Source organism: Homo sapiens, chromosome 1 (genome assembly GCF_000001405.40).
Source record: "Homo sapiens chromosome 1, GRCh38.p14 Primary Assembly".
Classification (NCBI taxonomy): Eukaryota; Metazoa; Chordata; class Mammalia; order Primates; family Hominidae; genus Homo; species Homo sapiens.
The window spans coordinates 170,931,754-170,951,870 of record NC_000001.11 but is presented as its reverse complement, the minus strand read 5'-3'; the positions used below and the strand labels follow the sequence as shown (position 1 = coordinate 170,951,870).

The 20,117-nt window shown below is 38.0% G+C and overlaps 1 protein-coding gene across 4 annotated transcripts in view, besides 1 other annotated feature; it reads right to left on the bottom strand.

Moving 5' to 3' along the window:
* MROH9 (maestro heat like repeat family member 9) overlaps window positions 1-16,337 on the bottom strand; it is a 129,232-nt gene extending 112,895 nt beyond the window's left edge. For all 4 annotated transcript variants that reach the window (NM_001163629.2, XM_011510006.3, XM_011510005.3 and 1 more), the window contains exons 1-3: window positions 16,284-16,337; window positions 6,290-6,351; window positions 4,298-4,344 (exon numbers count right to left, since the gene is read on the bottom strand). In NM_001163629.2, coding sequence (NP_001157101.1) covers window positions 4,298-4,344; window positions 6,290-6,314 — 72 coding nt within the window. In that variant the 5' untranslated portion in view covers window positions 6,315-6,351; window positions 16,284-16,337. The remainder of the gene's footprint in view (window positions 1-4,297; window positions 4,345-6,289; window positions 6,352-16,283) is intronic.
* Window positions 19,400-19,589: an enhancer, noted in NCBI's record as "active region_2084". NCBI's record gives its function as "activates an Ori minimal core promoter by ATAC-STARR-seq in GM12878 lymphoblastoid cells {active_cell/tissue: GM12878}" and the evidence as "EXISTENCE:reporter gene assay evidence [ECO:0000049][PMID:35858748]".

Here is a 20,117-nt window from a genome sequence, read left to right as displayed (position 1 = left end):
AAAAGGTGCTCTCACTTTATAGCTAAAGCCACAGGTGACTGAATTCACTCTCATCATTTTCAGATGGTCATTGTTTTGCTCTTTTACAACAGCCCTGTCTTTATAGGACTTAGCAGCTGGGACTGTGCTATTAATATAGTGAGAAGCACTGATCAACCTCTCATACTAGCCCACTGTCTTTGAATCACATTCACGCACCTTGATAATCTTCAGCTAGGAGGTGTCTTTCCCTGCAGGCTCTTCCATCCTGCTAGTCCTGCCTTATCTTGAGTGGCCCAGACATGTCTCAATGCTAGCAATAACTGTTTCTACATCAAGCAAGTTTATGTTTTGTTTCCAATGAGCCATTTGATTATCTCCTTCTCTCTTCTTGCAACTCCTATTTCCAATCTAAGTCTGTGTCATTCTTTTGAATATAATTGGGTTTCTGAAGTTGACCTTTTCCACAGCTAAGAGAAATGTAGATTCTGTTGCTGAAAAACAAATTAAGGCCTGGAATGGTAGTCCAGTTTTTGCTTTCTTAGAACCACAGTTTTACTATGCATGCTTAGGAGCTGGTTCACTAACTCCTATTATTCCTGTAGAGACAAATTGATGGAGTTAATTAATTTGTTTCTGTAATTGGAATGCCATAACTCTTTGCACTTTCTAAATTTTCTGTGCACTTTATATTTTTGACAAAACTCCTTATCACACTATTGGCAATAATTGTGTTTGGACTACTCTACTTCTCTAACAGTGTATACATCTAACTAGATCAAAATTTAGTGTGGTCATCTCTAACTGATGGCAAATCTCTATTTTAAAATTCCTTCAAATCCACATAGGAAGACATCTTTCAATTTATTCATTAGGACCCCTCTCCCACACTAGGGAAAAAAAGAGGGATTTTCAGTGGCTTAGAGACAAAGAAAACCAATTCGATGATATAAAAATAAAGGCTAAAAGAAAATAAAGAATAAAAATTAAGACAAAATGGAGGATTTAAGGGTGAGGGACATTTACAAACATGCATAGTAAACAGCCCCTTTACAAGAGCAAAAGATGGATTGTAAATATAATTATAGACTATATCAAAATATAGATATAGTTTGATCCAGCAATAAAACTTAGATTATTCATAGAAGCATGTTTTTGAATGGACTTTTAAAGTAGTATACCTTATTTATTTGTTTGAACATATAAAAAGGTAATACACATGCATGTGCAGTACAGTACAAAAGCGTAAACAGTGAACGTTTCCAAGTCTTCCCCTTCTCTAGCTCCCATCCCCTAATTTCCATCCCCAGAATCTACAGTTGTTACTGCTTTCCTGTGCATTCTCCTAGCAATAGAATATGCAGATATAAGAATGTTAATGATACTCTTTTGTGAGCAGTTTTAGCCTCTAAGGTATATATACAGGAATTGGTTCTATGTTTTCCTGTAACTGCTGCCACTGTGCTCTGTCCCTCTTCTCTGCCAACTCCCTTGCCCTGTCTTTCCCTGATAGATGGCTGTCTCCTTTATGGACTATTCTAAGTCTGATTTCATGAATTCTCCATCTTTTTTTGGTTATTAATACAGTCTCATAATTATTGTTAGTACTAAATCCTGTTTATTTAAAATCTTCAACTTCATTGTTTGTTCAAAAGTCTTCCTTGATACCCAGAGCAGGCAAGGATTTTGGTTTTAGGGTAAACACAGTATAGCTTGGTGCTTAGACCAGCAACTGTGCAGCCAGGATCTATGAATTTATAACCTCGTTCTGCCACTTGCTAGCTATGTGACTATAAGCAGGTCACTTTCTGCCTCTGTTTCCCCATTTTCAAGGTAGTACTTACCCCACAGGGCTGTTGTGAGAATTAAATGAGTTATTCATTTAAAGCACTTACAGCATGCCTAACATGTTATGGGTACTATATAAGTTTTAGCTATTTTTACTATCATTGGAATAGGGAAGGGATTTCCCTCTCTCACATGTCTCTGTACTCTGTTCCCTTTCTCATCTTCCTTGTCTTTGTATCTCTGGGGTTGTAGGTGGCTGAGGAATTGGGGGAAATATGTTTCCTTTTTGGTCCATCCATGAAATAATTTATTGTCCCCTTCCTGTTGGTGATTTGTTCTGGCAAGCAGGTGGTGCCCCCAACAGCCCTGCTGATGAAGAACTCAATTTACTAGGAGAGTGTCACTTTCAAGGTCCAGCTACATGTTCTGGAAGATCCCCACTGTGCTGTGTTTTGGTTTTTGGTTTTTAAATTTTGAAACACCAGCCCACTTGACCCAGGTGCAGGAGTTCCCAACAGCCATCCGCCCTCAATTGTACACTTCAACTCAGATGTCTGTTATTACTTATAAGGAGTATCTTTGTATTTCATCATCTATAATTTTGTTGGAGCAACACCACTCTCCTGATTAAGTAAGTCACCAAGGTTTTGAACTTTTTAGCAAAGCGTAAAGGAACTTTTATGACTAAGTCTGTGCTTACCTCTCCATCCACAACTCCTGTTATTTCCTCTTGACTAGTCTTCATTCTAGATACACCTTTTGTCTTAGATGGATGCTGCAGGGTGTTGTTTAGACCACCCCTCTCCATTTCAGTACTGAAATACTCTTTCCACAACTTGTGGAAGTGTTGGCAGCTGAGAGCTTTTAGATAAGTATTCTTGAGACTTCCCTTAGCCAAAGAGCCTTCCTACCTAAGATCACATCCCCTCTCTGGGAGCAACCTACATCTAATGACTAGTTGACATGGGGAAATAAAGGCCAAACCTCCTTGCCTCAAAGAGGGTCAACTTTGAAAGGTCATTCCAGTTCCAGAGTGCCCTGCAGAAGTAGCTGAGACCTATCTTGCAAGTGCATTGCAGTTCAACACCTCCTTGTACCTAATCCTGCTTCCTTCACTTTGCCTCTACTACTAATCCCCAAGTATTGATCCAAAGAGCACATCCAGTGTTATTTTAGAATCTGCTTCCTGGGGAACCATAGCTAAAATCTATAATTCTACAAACGTATGTTGCTTTTTCTTTCTCCACGCCTTTACAGGTGCTGTTTCCTCTTCTTGGAATGTACTTCACTTTCATCTAGGCATTCTACTCATCTTTCAAAGTCCAGCTCAAATCTTCTCTGGCCCAAAGTCATATTTGAATGTCCCTCCAAATATACTTCTATCATTTCCTGAATATTGTAACTTCTTCATAGCTTATAACAGTTTCTAACTACTGAATTTTTTAAAATCTCTCCCATTGGACTATAAGCAATTTGGGGCTAGTATTTGAGTTTTATTCTACTTTGTTTCTCAAAAAGATAGCATAATATTTAATGCATAGTAGATTCTCAATAAATATTTGTTGAATAAATGAATGAGTGATTGAGTGAGTGTAATTCTAAACTGCATCTTTCTGACTCTATGGACTATACAAATGGGAAAGGATTAAATGACCCTGTTTAATAGAATATGGTTTTATTAACAACTCTCCTCATGTCCTGGCTGGAAAAATCAATTTGTCCACCAAATGATATCAATGTTTTGCTTTAATTATCAGCGACTTCGACCTATGGATTATGAACAAAATCTATAAAAGTTTTAATATCCACGCTGAAGCATTTCTTTTGTAAAGGTAGAAGATTACATATTTTCTTATGGTAGCCCTCCCCTGTTTCTTCTGTGTTAATTTGGATGTGGATTAAAATGATGGTAGGGTCTATTAGAGGTTCAGAATTTTAAAACAATTTTGAAAAATGACTGGATGAATATCCACTAAGACAATACTGTGCTACACACTGCAGAGAACACAAAGATGAATAATCACAATCTCTGCTCTCAAGAGATCAAAGACAAGAAATCTGCAAAAGGCCTAGAAAATAAGATAAATGGAAAAGGAAAGACACAAACTAGAATGGCTCTCAAATAAGGAAATAATATCATTCAATCAGAGACTAGGTAGAAGGGCTTCACTTTGATGGGAAGGGTTTCCACAGTGATGATGGAAGGGAAAATATGAGTGAGGAGACTATCCTAGAGACCAGTCAGTTGATGGAGGATGGGTGGGATAAATAGTAGGATGGGTAAAAAGTTTCATCCTTTTAAATTAGTGCTGAAGGTCATTTTCAGGAGCATGAGAGAATGAAGAAGAAATGACGCTGCAGGGACATACAGGTAAAAACAATTTTTAACCAAATTGCCTTTTTTTCCCCTTTCTCCCCCAACACATGTATTTTAAACATTACTTGTAACATCCTTGTAATGGAAACAGTAAAAAGTTATTTTTTCCAAGAGAATTCAGTTACGTTGATATCCTTATAGAATATCACTTACCATGTGGTGCCATTTCACACTGTCTTGCAGAATCTGGAGACTACTCTCTAGCCAGAAAGAAGGAGATTCGTTAAAAAGGAATGAACATAGACTCCTATCATCTTAGTGGGGCCTTATTTCCAAACCTGAAGCTACTATGACCTTGATGTCAAAGCCCAACAAGGACATGCACACACACACTAAAACTATAGACAAATTTACTGTGAGTATTACTGGACAACACTTAACAAAAAGATTAGTAGGCAGGCTATGGCAGCACATTAAAAGAATAAAAGCCTATACCCAAGTAGTATTTATTACATAGAGGATGGTTCAATAAAAGAGAATCTATAATACAATTCTCAACATTAATTGCTAAAGAAGAAATTCTACACAATAATTTTTGAGTTCCAAATTTATAAGATTTTAAATATGAACTTGATAACATTTTTAAATAAAATGGCTATGTAGTTCATGTCTTAATGTGATAGATAAAAAAGTCAGTACCAAGTGTGATTAGAAAATAAATAGAAGTGTTCTTATTAAGGTAAAGAATAAAACAAAGATTATCATTACTACCACCATCATTTACCATTTCTGGAAGGACCATCAAATATTATTTAAAAATAGAAATAAATGCATATATTAAAACTGGAAAGGAAAATATAATTTTGTTTGAATTATAACTTCATAGGAAACAGTATAAGGGGCTTTTAAATTTTTTAATGTTATCAAAATAATTTAATTAGAAATGGAGTTATCAGTTACTGAAATGATTGATAAAATTGCCTTATGAAATTTTTAGAAACTGTTATGTTTTCCTTTGCTTGCTTGGAGGAGGTAGCCCTTTGATAATTATTTTATGTCTTCTATTTTAATCGGTATATTTAGATTTTCTAGATCTTCTTTGATTCTTTTTTTAAAAAAATAACTTTTTATTTCAGACCTATAGGAAAGTTGCAAAGACAGTAAATTATCATGTATCCTTCAACCAGTTCCCTCCAATGTTAACTAACATCTTACATAACCATGGCACATTTTTCAAAACTAAGAAATTAACATTATTACAATTACATTAACTAAAATTCAGACTTTATTTGGATTTCACCTATTTTTCCACTAATATCCTTTTCTGGTTCTGGGATCCAGTCCAGGATTCCACGTTGCATTTAGTCAGCGTGTCTCCTCAGTTTGCTCTGATCTCTAACAGTTTAGCAGTCTTTCCTTGTTTATGACCTTGACAGTTTTGAAGAGCACTGGTTAGGTATTTTGTAAAATGTACCTCTATTTGGATTTATCTGATTTTTTTTCATATAATTAGACTGGGAATATAGGTTTGAGGAAAAAATATTACAGAGTGAATGCCTGCCTGTCTCATCATGAAAAAAATACAAGATTTTGAATTTATTTATTAGTCCTACTATTTTTCTTTTCCTGAATTCAAATATTCAACTTCATCTTTATGTGGGTCATTTTATTTCTGCATTCCTTAGATTTGTTTTGTTTTATTTTGATAACTTCTTGCTTTCAATACTTGATTTCATTATTCTTATTTTGTTCTGGTTTAGTTTTCTAAGTACTAAAGGCTATAAATTTTTCTCTGTGATCCCTTTGGCTGTATACTATAGGGTTTGATATGTAGTATTATCAATACTTTGTAATTTCCTATTAATTTCCTCTTTGACTCAAGAATTGTTTAAAATAGAAAGTTTACTGGACAAGTGGTAGGTTGTTTTTCACTTGTTTCATGAATTCATCACTAGTTTCTAATTTTTTGCATTGTAATCAGAGAATATGTCTTCTATTTCTACTTTCTGGAATTTATACAGAAATTTCTAGCCTAATATATGGTTACTTTTGTGAACGTTCTACGGGCATTAGGGAAAAAAGGTACATTCTTTGTTATCATGGTTACAGAATGATGTATAGGTTTCTCTCTGTCATCTGTCACTCATACACACACATATACACAAAAATACCTTCTCCCATCTCTATTGTGTCCTAAAGCCTTACTTGTTTTTGGATTCCTTGTCAACATGCTGACAGAGGTGTATTAAAGTCTTCTACTAGTAATGCTGCAAAAAATATCACGTATTAGTACATAAACCAGAAACTTTCCTACAGTTTTGTTTTGCTCTATCAATATGGATGGTACTATGATATACAGTATGTGGATTGTGTTAATTTTCTATAGCTGTGCATCAATTTATCACAAATTTAAAGGCTTAAAAATATGTTGTTATTTCAGTGTCTGTAGGTCAGAAGGTTCAGTCTCAGTTTAGCTGTAGTCTGCTCAGGGTCTCACACAGCTGGACTCAAGATGTCAACTTGGAGTGCTATCTCATTTGAGGCTCAGAGTTCTCTTTCCAGGTCAATTAGATTGTTGGCAAAATTCAATTGTTTGAGGCTGTCAGATTGAAGAACCTATTACTTTGCTGGCTGCGGCTGAGGACAATACTCAGCATCTAGAAGCCGTCTGCGGTTTCTTGCCATATGACCTGTTCCAGAGGCCATCTCACACTACCAATCTCTGACTTCTGTCTCCAACCTCCAGACCCAGACTTAAAAGACTCATGTGATTAGGGCAGGCCACTCAAATACTCTTCCTTTTAACTCAAAGATAACTGATTAGTAACCTTAATTATAGCTGTACAGTTCCTTCTTTCACGTTATATAACATAATCATGAGAATGATTTCCCATCATACATCATATTCAGATCTTCATCCCGTACCCTTCCTTCCTAAATATTTCAGCTTCAAGTGGAGGGATTGATATAAGACGTGGATACTAGGGGACAGGAATATTGGGGGCCGTCTTAAAATTCTACTTACCACATAGATTTTCATAATTATTGTATCATCATAGTGGATTATGAACTTTTTCATAATGTGATGCATTTAAAAAATCACCTTTACTGCCTCAAAGCTTATTTTAAAGCCTGAAATTCAAGTTTGTCTGAATTATGATCCCAACACTACTTAGTGGTTGTTTACACTTTTTTGGTATTCCTTTTTTCCGTCTTTTTATTTGCAACCTTTTTGAGATACTTTGTTTTATAAGTACCTCGAGTATGTAACATATTGCTGGACTTTACTAGTGATTTAACCATATTTCTTTCTCTTTGTACATAAGTTCAATCCATTGTTGTTTATTACATAACAGATTTTATCACTATATTTTGTATGTGCTTTTGTTGTTGTTGTTGTTGTTACCTTTAAATATTTTATTATTTGATGTTTTTCTCCTTACTTTGTATGTGTGTGATGTGGTGTTTTGTGTGTTTCTTTAATACGAAAGGTTTATATTCCTGTTGTGATGATGTTTAGGATTACAATAACTTCTTATATTTATTCCTCAAAACTTTAGACAGAACCTGTTGATTCCCAACTATGAGCAAAGATGAAATTAGTTCATTTCTATTTTCTCTTCTCTGTCACTCCTCATACAATTTTAGTTGATTTATTAGTGAAACCTTTATGCATTTGTGTTTATATTGCTTGTTTAATAACCCCTAGGCTTTAAAAATGAAATCAATGTATTTATTAACTTTCCCCTTATCTTTTATTTTTATTATAATTGTTATTAGCGATATTATTTTTATACTTTCAAGATGTATAATATTTACATTCAGTTCTGTAACAATAATCCTACTTCCTTTATGTCTTAGCCCTTCATGTAAACAGATTCTATGCATACTGCCAGACTTTCCCCATTCATTTCTTGTTGAGCTAAAGTTCATTTTCTTTGACTTTATTTAAGAGAATCTCATGAGAATCACATTCCTTGATTTTTTTTCACATTAAAACTGTTACACTGAGTTAAAGTTTGACTGCATATAATACTCCTGAGCTATAATGTTTTCATAAGGATTTTACAGACATTGTTCCATTGTCATCTAGCATTGTTGTGGAAAAGGCTAAGGTTAGCTCCTTTTTTTTTTCTCCTATATAGATCAAATGAACCTTTTTCTCCCTCTCTGGATTTCCAAAGGATTCCTTGTTTATTTTTGAAATTAAGTAACTTTACAAGTAAAGAGCTCATCATTGATTGACTTAATTTTTCTAGGGACATAGTCTGCTTTTGAATCTATATGTTCATGGCACATTTTGTTAAAATTTATTTATATATTTTCTTCTTTTCTGTTATTTTGGTTCTCTTCTTTAGTGATATCAGTTATGCTTATATTTTATCTCATTTCTAAAGTCTTTCTAGCTTACCTCAGTTTGGTCCTTTATTCTCTTTAGCACATTTTTAGCAATATTCATTTTCTTTGCACTGTTTCCAACATTGCTTTTGGAGTATTTTTAACACTCCATTTTTTTCCTGAGCTGCACTATTTCTTTCCTAAATTCTTATATATCTACTTTGAAATCACATTTTATAGATAAAATCACTCCATTAAATTAAAAAAGTTTTTCATCTGCCGTTTGATATTTTTCCAGTTTTTGTCATTGATTTTTTTAATTTTCTACTTTTTTCTTGTAAAAAATTTGTTTAGATCCTGTATTGATTCTTTTAAAATTATTGCTTATTAGAATAAGATGGGCTACTTCCGAATCAAATATTTTCAGGACTTTCACCTGGAGGAATTTTCCTCTTGATCCAGCATAGTATATGTAAATTTGCTCTTTTGGCTTTACTTTTCCCCAACTATTTTACCCTCCTGGCAGCATTAGAGCTACTGCAGAATTGGCCTCCTTTACCCTGGCCCACCTGCAAGCAATAGCAGCTTGTTTGTGTGATTTCTTGTTTAGTTCAGCTTCACCAGCTTATGTTTGGTTCAAAACCAGAACCAAAGAAAGTTTCCTTAGTGCATGCATTCCATTCCCCTTTTTCTGTCTAAGCTACTCACCTTGCTTTCCTCACATCCTTATCACCCAGGAAAAGTATCAGTCATCTATCCAGGGAGGTATCTCTGGGTCCAAACATGTGAACAAAAGTCCTATTCCAGGCATGTCATATTTCCATACAATTCAGCTGTTACTCCATAACTGGAGTGCTTTCCTTGCTGTTTTTGAATATCCCATATTTTAGTAAATGTATGTTACTGGCCTACCCTATCAAAGACTTTGCTTTAGCAAAAGTTTCTTAAAAATTTTCACAGGATTGAAGACATACATAAAGAAATTTTAGGACAAATCTAAAATTTTACTCTTGATAAAATTATCGGTATTCTCTGAGGGTGTGTGTGTGTGTGTGTGTGTGTGTGTGTGTGTGTGTGTGTCTACTCTACATTGCCGGAGGAAACTGTAATTGCCTCCCCTGAGGCAGTTGCCAAGCAAGATAATGCTGAGTCTTCTTAGGGACTCAACCCCACCACTCTTCTTTGCTTCTAGACCCGTAACTAGACTCAAATTGCAGAAGGCCCCTAAAGTCAAGGTAGAAAGTGTGACCCATGAGGAAATGTGCTACACTCCAAAAGAATGACTTGAGTTTTCTTATTTCTACAAGCAGAAATCCAGGGAACCTGTGTAGAAATGGATATTAAAGCTGTAGGATAACAGTGGAAGAAACAAAAAGTTGAATTAGGCCAAATTTATTGATATGGGCTCACTAAGCAGAGATTCTGCATTTAATGGTGCAGCTCAGGGAGTTGGAAATGGCTCTAACTACTTGTTTGGTTGATTGGCTAAAACATGGACCAAAAAGTGGCCAATGAGGAGAAAGTTAGGAATGCCAGACCTGTATAGCTTAATGTAGAAAAGGGATTCAAAAGCTTAGGGAGATTGGAATGTTAGAGTGAATTTGTCATTTAAGACCTAGTCCCTCACGCCGGGAGTGTCCAGAAGACACACCTTTTGCCACTACAGCAAGCAATTTGTGAGGGAAGTCCCACCATCCTTGAGGAGCTCTGTGCTTGCTCTTTTCTGTAAATCAGACCCTACTATGGTGGAAACTGCAGCCACTGAATAGGGAAATGTAAATGTGATGAGGATAATTGGATTTCAGGGTGGCAGGGGCAAAGGGGCAAGCTCAACAGCCAATGGAAAGATGAGTGCAGTTGCCTTAATGAGCAACAAAAAGTCAAAGCAGCAGTCAAAATAGTCTGACTCTTTTGAACCTATGGTATTGGCTAGTTGATCATGGTGTTCCTAGAAGTTAAACAGATAGGAGGCCTATTAAATTCTTATTTGATTTGTATAAGCATAAAAGTTCTAGGTCAAGTGAACAAAAATATAACCTAAATAAAAAATTGAGTCATGATCCCTCAGTCATTTCCCAGGCTTAAGCTGGCTTATAAACCCAGAATTCCTTGAGTGAAAGGGAGGCTGGGCCCTTTTGAAGAAGGACCTTAGTATACTACCAAAATTTATACTGTGAATCTTTCTTCCAGTCTGCCACAAAGGGACCTATGGCCTTTTCCAGGGTAAGTGTGCCTTGGGGAAAGGAAATAATCAGACCTTCTGGGGAGTACTAGAAAATGGTTCTGAACTGACAATAATTCCAGGAGACCCAAAATGTCATTCTGGCCATCCAGTCAGAATAGGGAACTAGGGAGGTCAGGAGATCAATGGAGTGTAGCTCAGGTCCTTCTAACAGTGGGTCCGGTGTGTCCCCAATCCATCCTGGGTTATTACAGAGTTATTTGTTATAACTGATGTTATTTCCTCAGTTCTGGAATGCGTAATTGGAATAGACAAGCTGAGTAGCTAGTGGAATCCGCATACTGGTTGCCGGAACTGTGGAATGGGGGATATTATGGCGAGAAAAGCCAAGTGGAAGCCACAAGAACTGCCTCTACCTAGGAACATAGTAAGCTGGAAGCAATACTGCATTCCTGGAGGGATTGCAGAGGTTAGTGCCATCATCAAGGACTTAAATGAATCAGGGGTTGTCATTTGTACCACATCCCCATTTAAATTATCTATTTGGACTGTGAAGAAGATAGATCTTGGAGAATGACAGTGGATTACCATAAGCTTAACCAGGTGGTAACTCTAAATGCAGTTGCTGTTCCAGGTGTGATTTCATTGCTTGAGCAAATTGACATATTCTCTGGTACCTGGTATGCAGCTATTATTCTGGCAAATACTTTTTTTCTCTATCCCTTTCCGTAAGGTGTACATGAAGCAGTTTGTGTTCAGCTGGAAAGGCCAGCAATACACCTTCACTGTTCTACCACAGGGGCATGTCAACTCTCCAGCTGTATGTCATAATTTAGTTTTCAGGAGTCTTAATCACTTCCCCATCCACAAACATTACACTGGTTCATTATATTGGCGACATTATGCTTATTGGATCTTCTGAACAAGAAGTAGCAATATCTAAACTTATTGGCAGGACACCTGTGTGCCAGAGGGTGGGAAATAAATCTGACAAAAATTCAGAGGCCTTCTATCTCAGTGAAATTTCTAGGGGTCCAGTAGTGTGGAGCATGTTGAGATATCCCTTCTAAGGTTAAAGGTAACTTGTTGCATCTGGTACCTCCTAAAGCCAAAAAAGAAGCAGAATGCCCAATGGGCCCCTACAGATTTTAGGCAACATATTTCTCATTTGGGTGTGTTACTCCAGCACATTCACCAAGTGACCTAAAAAGCTGCTAATTTGAATGGAGCCCATAGTAGAAGAAGACTGAAACAGGTCCAGGCTGTTGTACAGTCTGCTCTGGTACTTGGACAATAGGATGCAGCAGATCCAGTGGTGCTTGATGCATCAGTGGCAGATAATGATGCTCTTTTCAGCCTTTGGCAGTGAATTGAAGTGCAAGCCCCCAGGATTTTGGAGCAAAGCCTTACTCTCCTCTGCAGATAGTTAGTCTTCTTTTGAGAAACAGCCCTTGACATGCTACTAGGCCTTAGTAGAGACTGAATGCTTGACCACGTGGCACCAAGTTACCATGTGATCTGAGCTGCTTATCATGAACTGGGTGTTATCCAACCCACCAAGCCATAAAGTTGGGTGTGCACGGCAGTACTCCATCATCAAATGGAAGTGATATATATGTGTGATCAGGCCTGAGCAGGTCTTGAAGGCACAAGTAAATTACATAAAGAAATGGCCAAAAGCCAGTGATCCTTCCTCCTACTACACTGCCTTCTCTTTATTAGCCTGCAACTATGGCTTCATGGGGAGTTCCCTATGATCAATTGACAGAGGAAGAAAACAGCCTGGTTTACAGTTGGTTCTACATGATATACAGGCACAACTTGAAAGTGGATGACTGTATCCCTATAGCCCCCTTTTGGGACATCTCTGAAGGACAATGGCCAAGAGAAATACTCCCAGTGGGCAAAACCCCAAGCAGTGCAATCCTCCCTGTAGGCAGAACTTCGAGCACTGAATCTGATTTTTTACTTTGATTGGAAGGAGAAATAGCCAGATGTGTGATTATATACTGATTCATGGGCTGTGCCCAGTGATTTTTCTAGATGGTCAGAAACTTGGAAGGAACATGATTGGAAAATTGATGAAGAAATTTGAGGAAGAGATAAGTGGATAGACATCTCAGAATTAGCAAAAAGTTTGAAGATATTTGTGTTCCCTGTAAATATTCACCAAAGGGCAATCTCTGCTGAGGATTATTTAATAATCAAGCAGATAGGATGACCCATTCTGTAGGTACCAATTAGGCTATTTCTTCAGCCACTAGTGTCATCACCCAATAGGCTCATGAGCAAAGTAGCCATAGTGTCAGGGATGTAAATTATGTATGGGTCCAGCAACATGGACTTTTATTTGTCAAGGACAACCTAGCTGTGGCCACTACCGAGTGGCCAATATGCCAGTAGCAGAGAAAAACACTGAGTCCTTGATGTGGCCCAGAGTGATCAGCCAGCTACCTGGTGGCAGCTTGACTACATTGGACTGCGTCCATCATAGAAGAGGAAGCATTTTGTCCTTACTGAAATAGACACTTACCCTGGATATGGATTTGCCGTCCAGGTATGCAATGCTTCTGCCAAAACTGCCATTTGTGGACTTATAGAATGCCTTATCCACCATCATGTTATTCCACACAGCATTGCTTCTGATCAAGGAACTCACTTCACAGCCAAAGAAGTGGGGCAATTGGCTTATGCTCATGGAATTCACTAGTCTTACCATGTTCCCCACCATCCTAAAGCCACTTGTTTGATGGAACGGTGGAATGACCTTTTGAAGACTCAGTTACGTCATCAGCTAGATGTCAATACCTGGAAGGGCTGGGGCAAGGTTCTCCGGAAAACTGAATATGCTCTGAATATGTTCAATTTATAGTGCTATTTCTCCTATAACCAGGATTCCTGGGTCTAGGGATCAAGGGGTGAAAATAGAGTTGCACCACTCACTATTATCCTTAGTGTCCCACTAGCTTCCTGTTCTTGTGGCATTATGCTCTGCTGGCTTAGAGATCTCAGTTCTGGAGGGAAGAATTCTTCCATCAGGGGACACGACAATAATTCCACTGAACTGGAAGTTAAGACTGCCACCTGGCCACCTTGGTCTCCTTGTGCTTCTGAGTCAACAGGCTAAGAAGGGAGTTATGGTGCTGGTTGGACTGACTGATCCACACTACCAAAGAGAACTTGGGCTACTATTCCATAATGGAGGCAAGGAAGAGTATGTCTGCAATACAAAAGATCCCTTAGTGTGTCTCTTAGTATTACTGTGTCCTGTGATTAAGATCAATGGAAAACTACAACCACCCAGTGCAGGTAGGACTACTAGTGACCCAGACCTTTATGGATCACTTTAGCAGGTAAAGAACCACAAGCAGCTGAGGTGCTTACTGAAGGCAAAGAAACTACAGAATGTGTAGTAGAAAAAGGGAGTTAAAAATACTGATTATGGGCCGGGCGCGGTGGCTCACGCCTGTAATCCCAGCACTTTGGGAGGCCGAGGCGGGCGGATCACGAGGTCAGGAGATCGAGACCATCCCGGCTAAAACGGTGAAACCCCGTCTCTACTAAAAATACAAAAAAAATTAGCCGGGCGTAGTGGCGGGCGCCTGTAGTCCCAGCTACTTGGGAGGCTGAGGCAGGAGAATGGCGTGAACCCGGGAGGCGGAGCTTGCAGTGAGCCGAGATCCCGCCACTGCACTCCAGCCTGGGCGACAGAGCGAGACTCCGTCTCAAAAAAAAAAAAAAAAAAAAAAAATACTGATTATGATGCTGTGATCAGTGCAGAAATGAAGACTGTAATAATTATGAGTATTTCCTTTTAATTTTGTTCTGAATACATTTCTTTGTGTATATATTAGATACCAAATATTTTTTCTTTTCTTATTCTCTTATCACATAATACAAAATGCAATGACTTCATATTCTAGTATTTAAGTATTGTTAATGTTACATCATAGTGTTTAAGTTACAGGACATCAAGGAAGAGAGTAAACATCACTGAAGGACTTTATCTCCTCCTCTGAGAAGGGTTTAGTGCATTTTCAGTTGTATGCAGGACATATGTTGGAACAGGAATTAAAAGAAATTAAAGAATGTGTAAGCAGAAACTCAGTTGTATGTAAGAAAACCCAATTCCCCAGAGAAAGAGAAAGAGCTGGAGTCCTTTAAAATTAACTGCCTGTTTTTCTGTGGCTAGTGAGCCTTATCTCTCCTCCTTTCCCAGGCATTGTGAAGACCCTGTTTCTCTAGCTGTGCAGCTGCAAGGTCACTAGACAGATAAACTCAAGTCATAAAACATGTTTTTCCTTGAAAAGTAAGAAATGATGTAATGCATGTTTCAATTAATTGAATAACTGTCTTTGTTTCTCACTTCTGTAATATGCTTCCCCCTACACAGATCTCCCCCACCCCACGAAATGATTAAAAGATAACTCTTTGTTCAGGGCTCAGTCCTTTGGAGGTTAATCCAACTGGGCCGGTGCACCTAAATAATAAATATCCTTCTCAACCCCATCGGTCTCTCTGATTCCTTATCAATCCCACTACATTTCAACATGTTAAATGGAATTATGAGCTTCTTATTGACTTTATTTGGAGATTAACTATGGCTTAAGGATATGTATATGGGTGCCAAATTTTCAACGTGGGAACTCATTATGGTTAGTTAATATTACGTGTCAAACTGAGTGAGCCATAGGATGCCCAGATATCTGGTAAACATTATTTTGGGGTATGTCTGTGAGGGTATTTCCAGAAGAGATTAGCATTTAAATTGGTGTTCTGATGATAGGAGATGACACTCCCTAATGTGGGTCAACATCTTCCAATCCATTGAGGGCCTGAATAAAACAAGAAGGCAGAAGAATGCTTAGTTTTCTCTTTGCCTGACTACTTGACTTGGGACACAAATCTGCTGCCCTCGGTGCTCTGGTTCTCAGATCCTCAGAACCAGGCTGGAATTTTTATCATCAACTCTCTTGCTCTCAGGCCTTCAAACTGCACCATTGGATCTCCTGGGTCTCTGTCTTGCAGAAAGCAGAATCCAGGACTTCCTAGCTTCTATTATTGTGTAAACCAATACCTTATAATAAATATATTTATCTATATAGTTGTGGTTTCTCTCATCCTTACTAATAAGATAATCCTTACTAGTAAGGCATGAAGTTAGGAGATTAATGAATAAAGACAAATTCTTCCAATTGCCAACTTTGGCAAGATTTCTGGATGAGGGCCCATAGTAATGTAATTTTCTTTTTCTTTTCTTTTTTTTTTTTTTTTTTTTTTTTTTGTCTCACTCTGTTGCCAGGCTGGAGTGCAGTAGCATGATCTCGGCTCACTGCAACCTCCACCTCCCGAGTTCAAGTGATTCTCCTGCCTCAGCCTCCTGAGTAGCTGGGATTACAGGCACCCGCCACCACACCCAGCTAATTTTTGTATTTTTAGTAGAGATGGGGTTTCACCAAGTTGCCTAGGGTGGTCTCGACCTCCTGACCTCATGATCCGCCCACAGCCTCCCAAAGTGCTGGGATTACAGGTGTGAGCCACCATACCTGGGCCATAACGTAATTTTCTAATGTATTCATGGTTCTTTTTCTTAACAGAACAAAAATTAAGAAAAGTAGTCAGGATTAGAAAAAAAGACAAGCTTTTGAATGACAGAAATATTAATAGGAATTCACTTACATATTTGTAACTTCTCTGTAATCACGGTGAGACAAAGTAGTGAAGAGAAACTCTAGTATATTACCTCTTAGCCAAAGGTAAAATACTCTAGGTAGTTATCAACCAAGCAAATTCTTTGAAATGTTGACACTCGTCATGGCAACCATATGTTTCAAAGATTCCATTCTGGAATGAATGTGGTAGAATGTCCTGGCATGCCCAAGTGGCTACTAATGCTCACCTGTCATTATTGAGGGGTGGGTAAGTTTCTGGTTTCTATGTTACAAGCACTGAAAGATAGTTCTTCAGACCAACAGTCCAGTAGAAGCTGGGCAAAGGATAAGAATAGAAAATTCACAGAAAAGGAAAACTGAATGGCCAATAAATATTTTAAAAGATTTTTAATCTCACTTGAAGTTATGAAAATACAAACCATTAAAATATTATTTCCCAGCTAATAAGTTAAAAAGTACTAAAATACAAGTAAAAATTAAAAAAAGATAATTTCAAATATTGGCAAAGATAAAAGAAAGTTGAACTTTCTCACACGACTGGTGGGATTATAAATGGATATAACTAGTTTGTAGAGAAACTTGTCAAGTTCTAGCAAAACTGAAAATCTACAACCCAGAATTTCCAGTTCTAGGTCCATAGAGTGTATAAACATGTATACAACTGATGCACTGAGAGACATGAAGGATGTTTATTGTAGCACTTTTTATAATAGAGTTATTAAAATATAATTCACATACCATAAAATTTATCTTAAAGTATATAATTCAATCATTTTAAATATATTTACAGAGGTATACAACCATCATTACTATCTAATTTTAGAACATTTTCATTTAGAACAAGCTCCAAAGAAACCCTGTACCTGTTAGCAGACATTCACCCTCCCTCTCCCCCAAGTACCTGGCAACCACTAATCTTCTGTCTGCCTTCTGGACATTTTATGTAAATAGATTTATACAATATGTGACTTTTTATGATTAGACTGTTTGGATTTTTATTACTGAGTTGTGATTTTTTAATATGTTCTAGATGCTAGTCTCTTATCAGATACATAATTTGCAAATATTCCTCCTTTTCTATGGGCTGCCTTTACATTTTCTTGACAGTGTCTCTTGAAGCACAAAAGTTTTAAATTTAAGTGAAATTTAAATTTGCCATTCTTTTTCTTTTATTGCTTGTGTTTTTGGTATCATAACTAAAAAAAAAGAAAAAGACATTGCCTGCATTCCCTGGCCCAACTTCACAGAGATTAGATTTAGAACTTTTCTAAGAGTTTTGTAGTTTTTGCCTTACATTTAGGTCTTTGGTTCATTCTGAATTAGTTTTAGTATATAGTGTGAGGTAGAGGTCTAATTTTATCTTATTTTTTGCATCTGGATATTCACTTGTCTCAGTACAATTTGTTAAAAAGATGATTCTTTTCCTGATTGTCTCCACATCTTTGTAAAAAATGAATTGACTAAAATGGTTTATTTCTGAACTCAATTTTATCCCATTAATCTATATGTTTTTCCTATACTGGTAGCACACTGTGGTGATTTCTGTGTCTTTGTAGTAAGTTTTGAAATCAAGAAGTGTGAATTTTCAAACTTTGTTTGTTCTAGGGTCACAATTATAACATTAGCCTAAAACAATGTAGTTTGAATTAATATCAATTTAGTTTCAATAACATACAAAGGTTTTGCTCCAGTATACCTGGTTTCCTCCTTCATTTTTTCTGCTATTATTGCCATGCACATTATATATATTCATGTTATACATACATATATTTAAACATTATAATCCCACCAACCCAGTTTTATAATTATTGCTTTAAGCTGTTTTCTTTTAAACATAATAGGAGAACAAAACCAAATAATTTTATTCTACCTCTGTAGTTTATGAGTGTGCTCTCTGTGTAGACTTGAGTGACTAGCTAGTATTCTTTTATTTCAGCGTGAGACAATATCTTCAGTATTTCTGGTAGGGCAGATCTGCTAGAAAAACAATCTTACTTTATTTGTGAATACTTAATTTTTCCTTTCTTTCTTTCCCTTCCTTCCTTTCTTTCTCTTTTCTTTCTTTCTTTCTTTCTTTCTTTCTTTCTTTCTTTTTTTTTGAAGGATAGTTTGGTCAAATATAGAATTCTCAGTTGGTAATTTTCTTTTTCTTTTTTGAGACGGAGTCTTGCTCTGTCATCCAGGCTGGAGTGCAGTGGCGCAATCTCGGCTCATTGCAAGCTCCACCTCCCAGGTTCACACAATTCTCCTGCCTCAGCCTCCTGAGTAGCTGGGACTACAGGTGCGTGCCACCACAGTGGCTAATTTTTTTGTATTTTCAGTAGAGACGGGGTTTCACCGTGTTAGCCAGGATGGTCTCGATCTCCTGACCTCGTAATCCACCCGCCTTGGCCTCCCAAATTGCTGGGATTACAGGTGTGAGCCACTGCACCTGGCCCAGTAATTTTTTTTATGGTTCTTTGTTGTCATCTGACTTCCTTCTAGCCCCCTTCTTCTCTGTCTTCCTCCTGCTTTGGCCATGTAAGATGAACCTGCTTCCCCTTCAGCCATGATTGAAAGTTTCCTGAGGCCTCCCCAGCCATGCTTTCTGTACAACATGTGGAACAGTGAGCCAGTTAAACCTTGTTTCTTTATAAATTACCCAGTCTCAGATATTTATTTAAAGCAGTGTGAGAACAGACTACTACAGAAAATTAGTACCTAGGAGTGGTGCATTGCTATAAAGATACCTGAAAATGTGGAAGCAGCTTTGGAACAGGGTAATGGGCAGAGATTGGAACAGTTTGGTTGGCTCAGAAGAAAACAGAAAGATGAGAGAAAGTTTGGAACATCCTAGAGACTTGAATGGTTTTGACCAAATTGCTGACAGTGGGGCAGAGATGGCCAGGCTGATGAGGTCTCAGATGGACATGAGGAACTTATTGGGAAGTTTGAACTTGAGAGTGATGATTTAGGGAATTTGGTGCAAGAAATTTCTAAGCAGCAAAACATTTAAGATGTGACCTGGCTGCTTCTAACAATATATGCCCACATGCCTAAGCAAAGAGATGGTCCGAAACTGGAACTTAAAAAGGGAAGCGGAGCATAAAAATTTGCAGCCTGACCATGTGGTGCAAAAGAAAAACCAATTTTCTGGGGAGGAGTTCAAGCCAGCTGCAGAAATTTGCATAAGTAAAGAGAAACCAAATGTTAATAGCCAAGACAATGAGGGAAATGCCATAAAGGTACTTGAGAGAACTTCAGGGCAGTCCCTCCCATTACAGGCTGGAGTCCTAGGAAAGAAGAACGGTCTTAAGGGCCAGGCTTGGGGCCCCACTGCCCTTGGGACACTGCTTCTTGTGTCCCAGCTGTTACAGCTCCCACTGTGGCTAAAACAGCCCCAGGTACATCTCAGGCCACTGTTTCAAAATATGCAAGCCATAAGCCTTGCTGGCTTCCACATGGTGTTAAGCATGCAGGTGCACAGGGGACAAGGGTTAAGGCTTGGGAGCCAATGCCTAGATTTCAGATAACATATGGAAATGCCTGGATGTTCAGGCAGCAGTCTGCTGTGGCAGCACAGCTCTCATGGAGAACCTCTATAGAGCAGGGTGGAGGGAAAATGTGGGGTTGGAGCCTTCACACAGAGTCCTCACTGGGGCACTGCCTAGTGGAGCTGTGAGAAGAGGGCCACTGTCCTCCAGACCTCAGAATGGTAGATCCACCAACAGCTTGTACTGTGCACCTGGAAAAGCTGCAGGCACTCAATACAAACTTGAGAAGGCAGCCACGGGGGCAATACCTTGCAGAACCACAGGGGCGAAGCTGCCCAAGGCCTTGGGAGTCCACCCCTTGCATCATT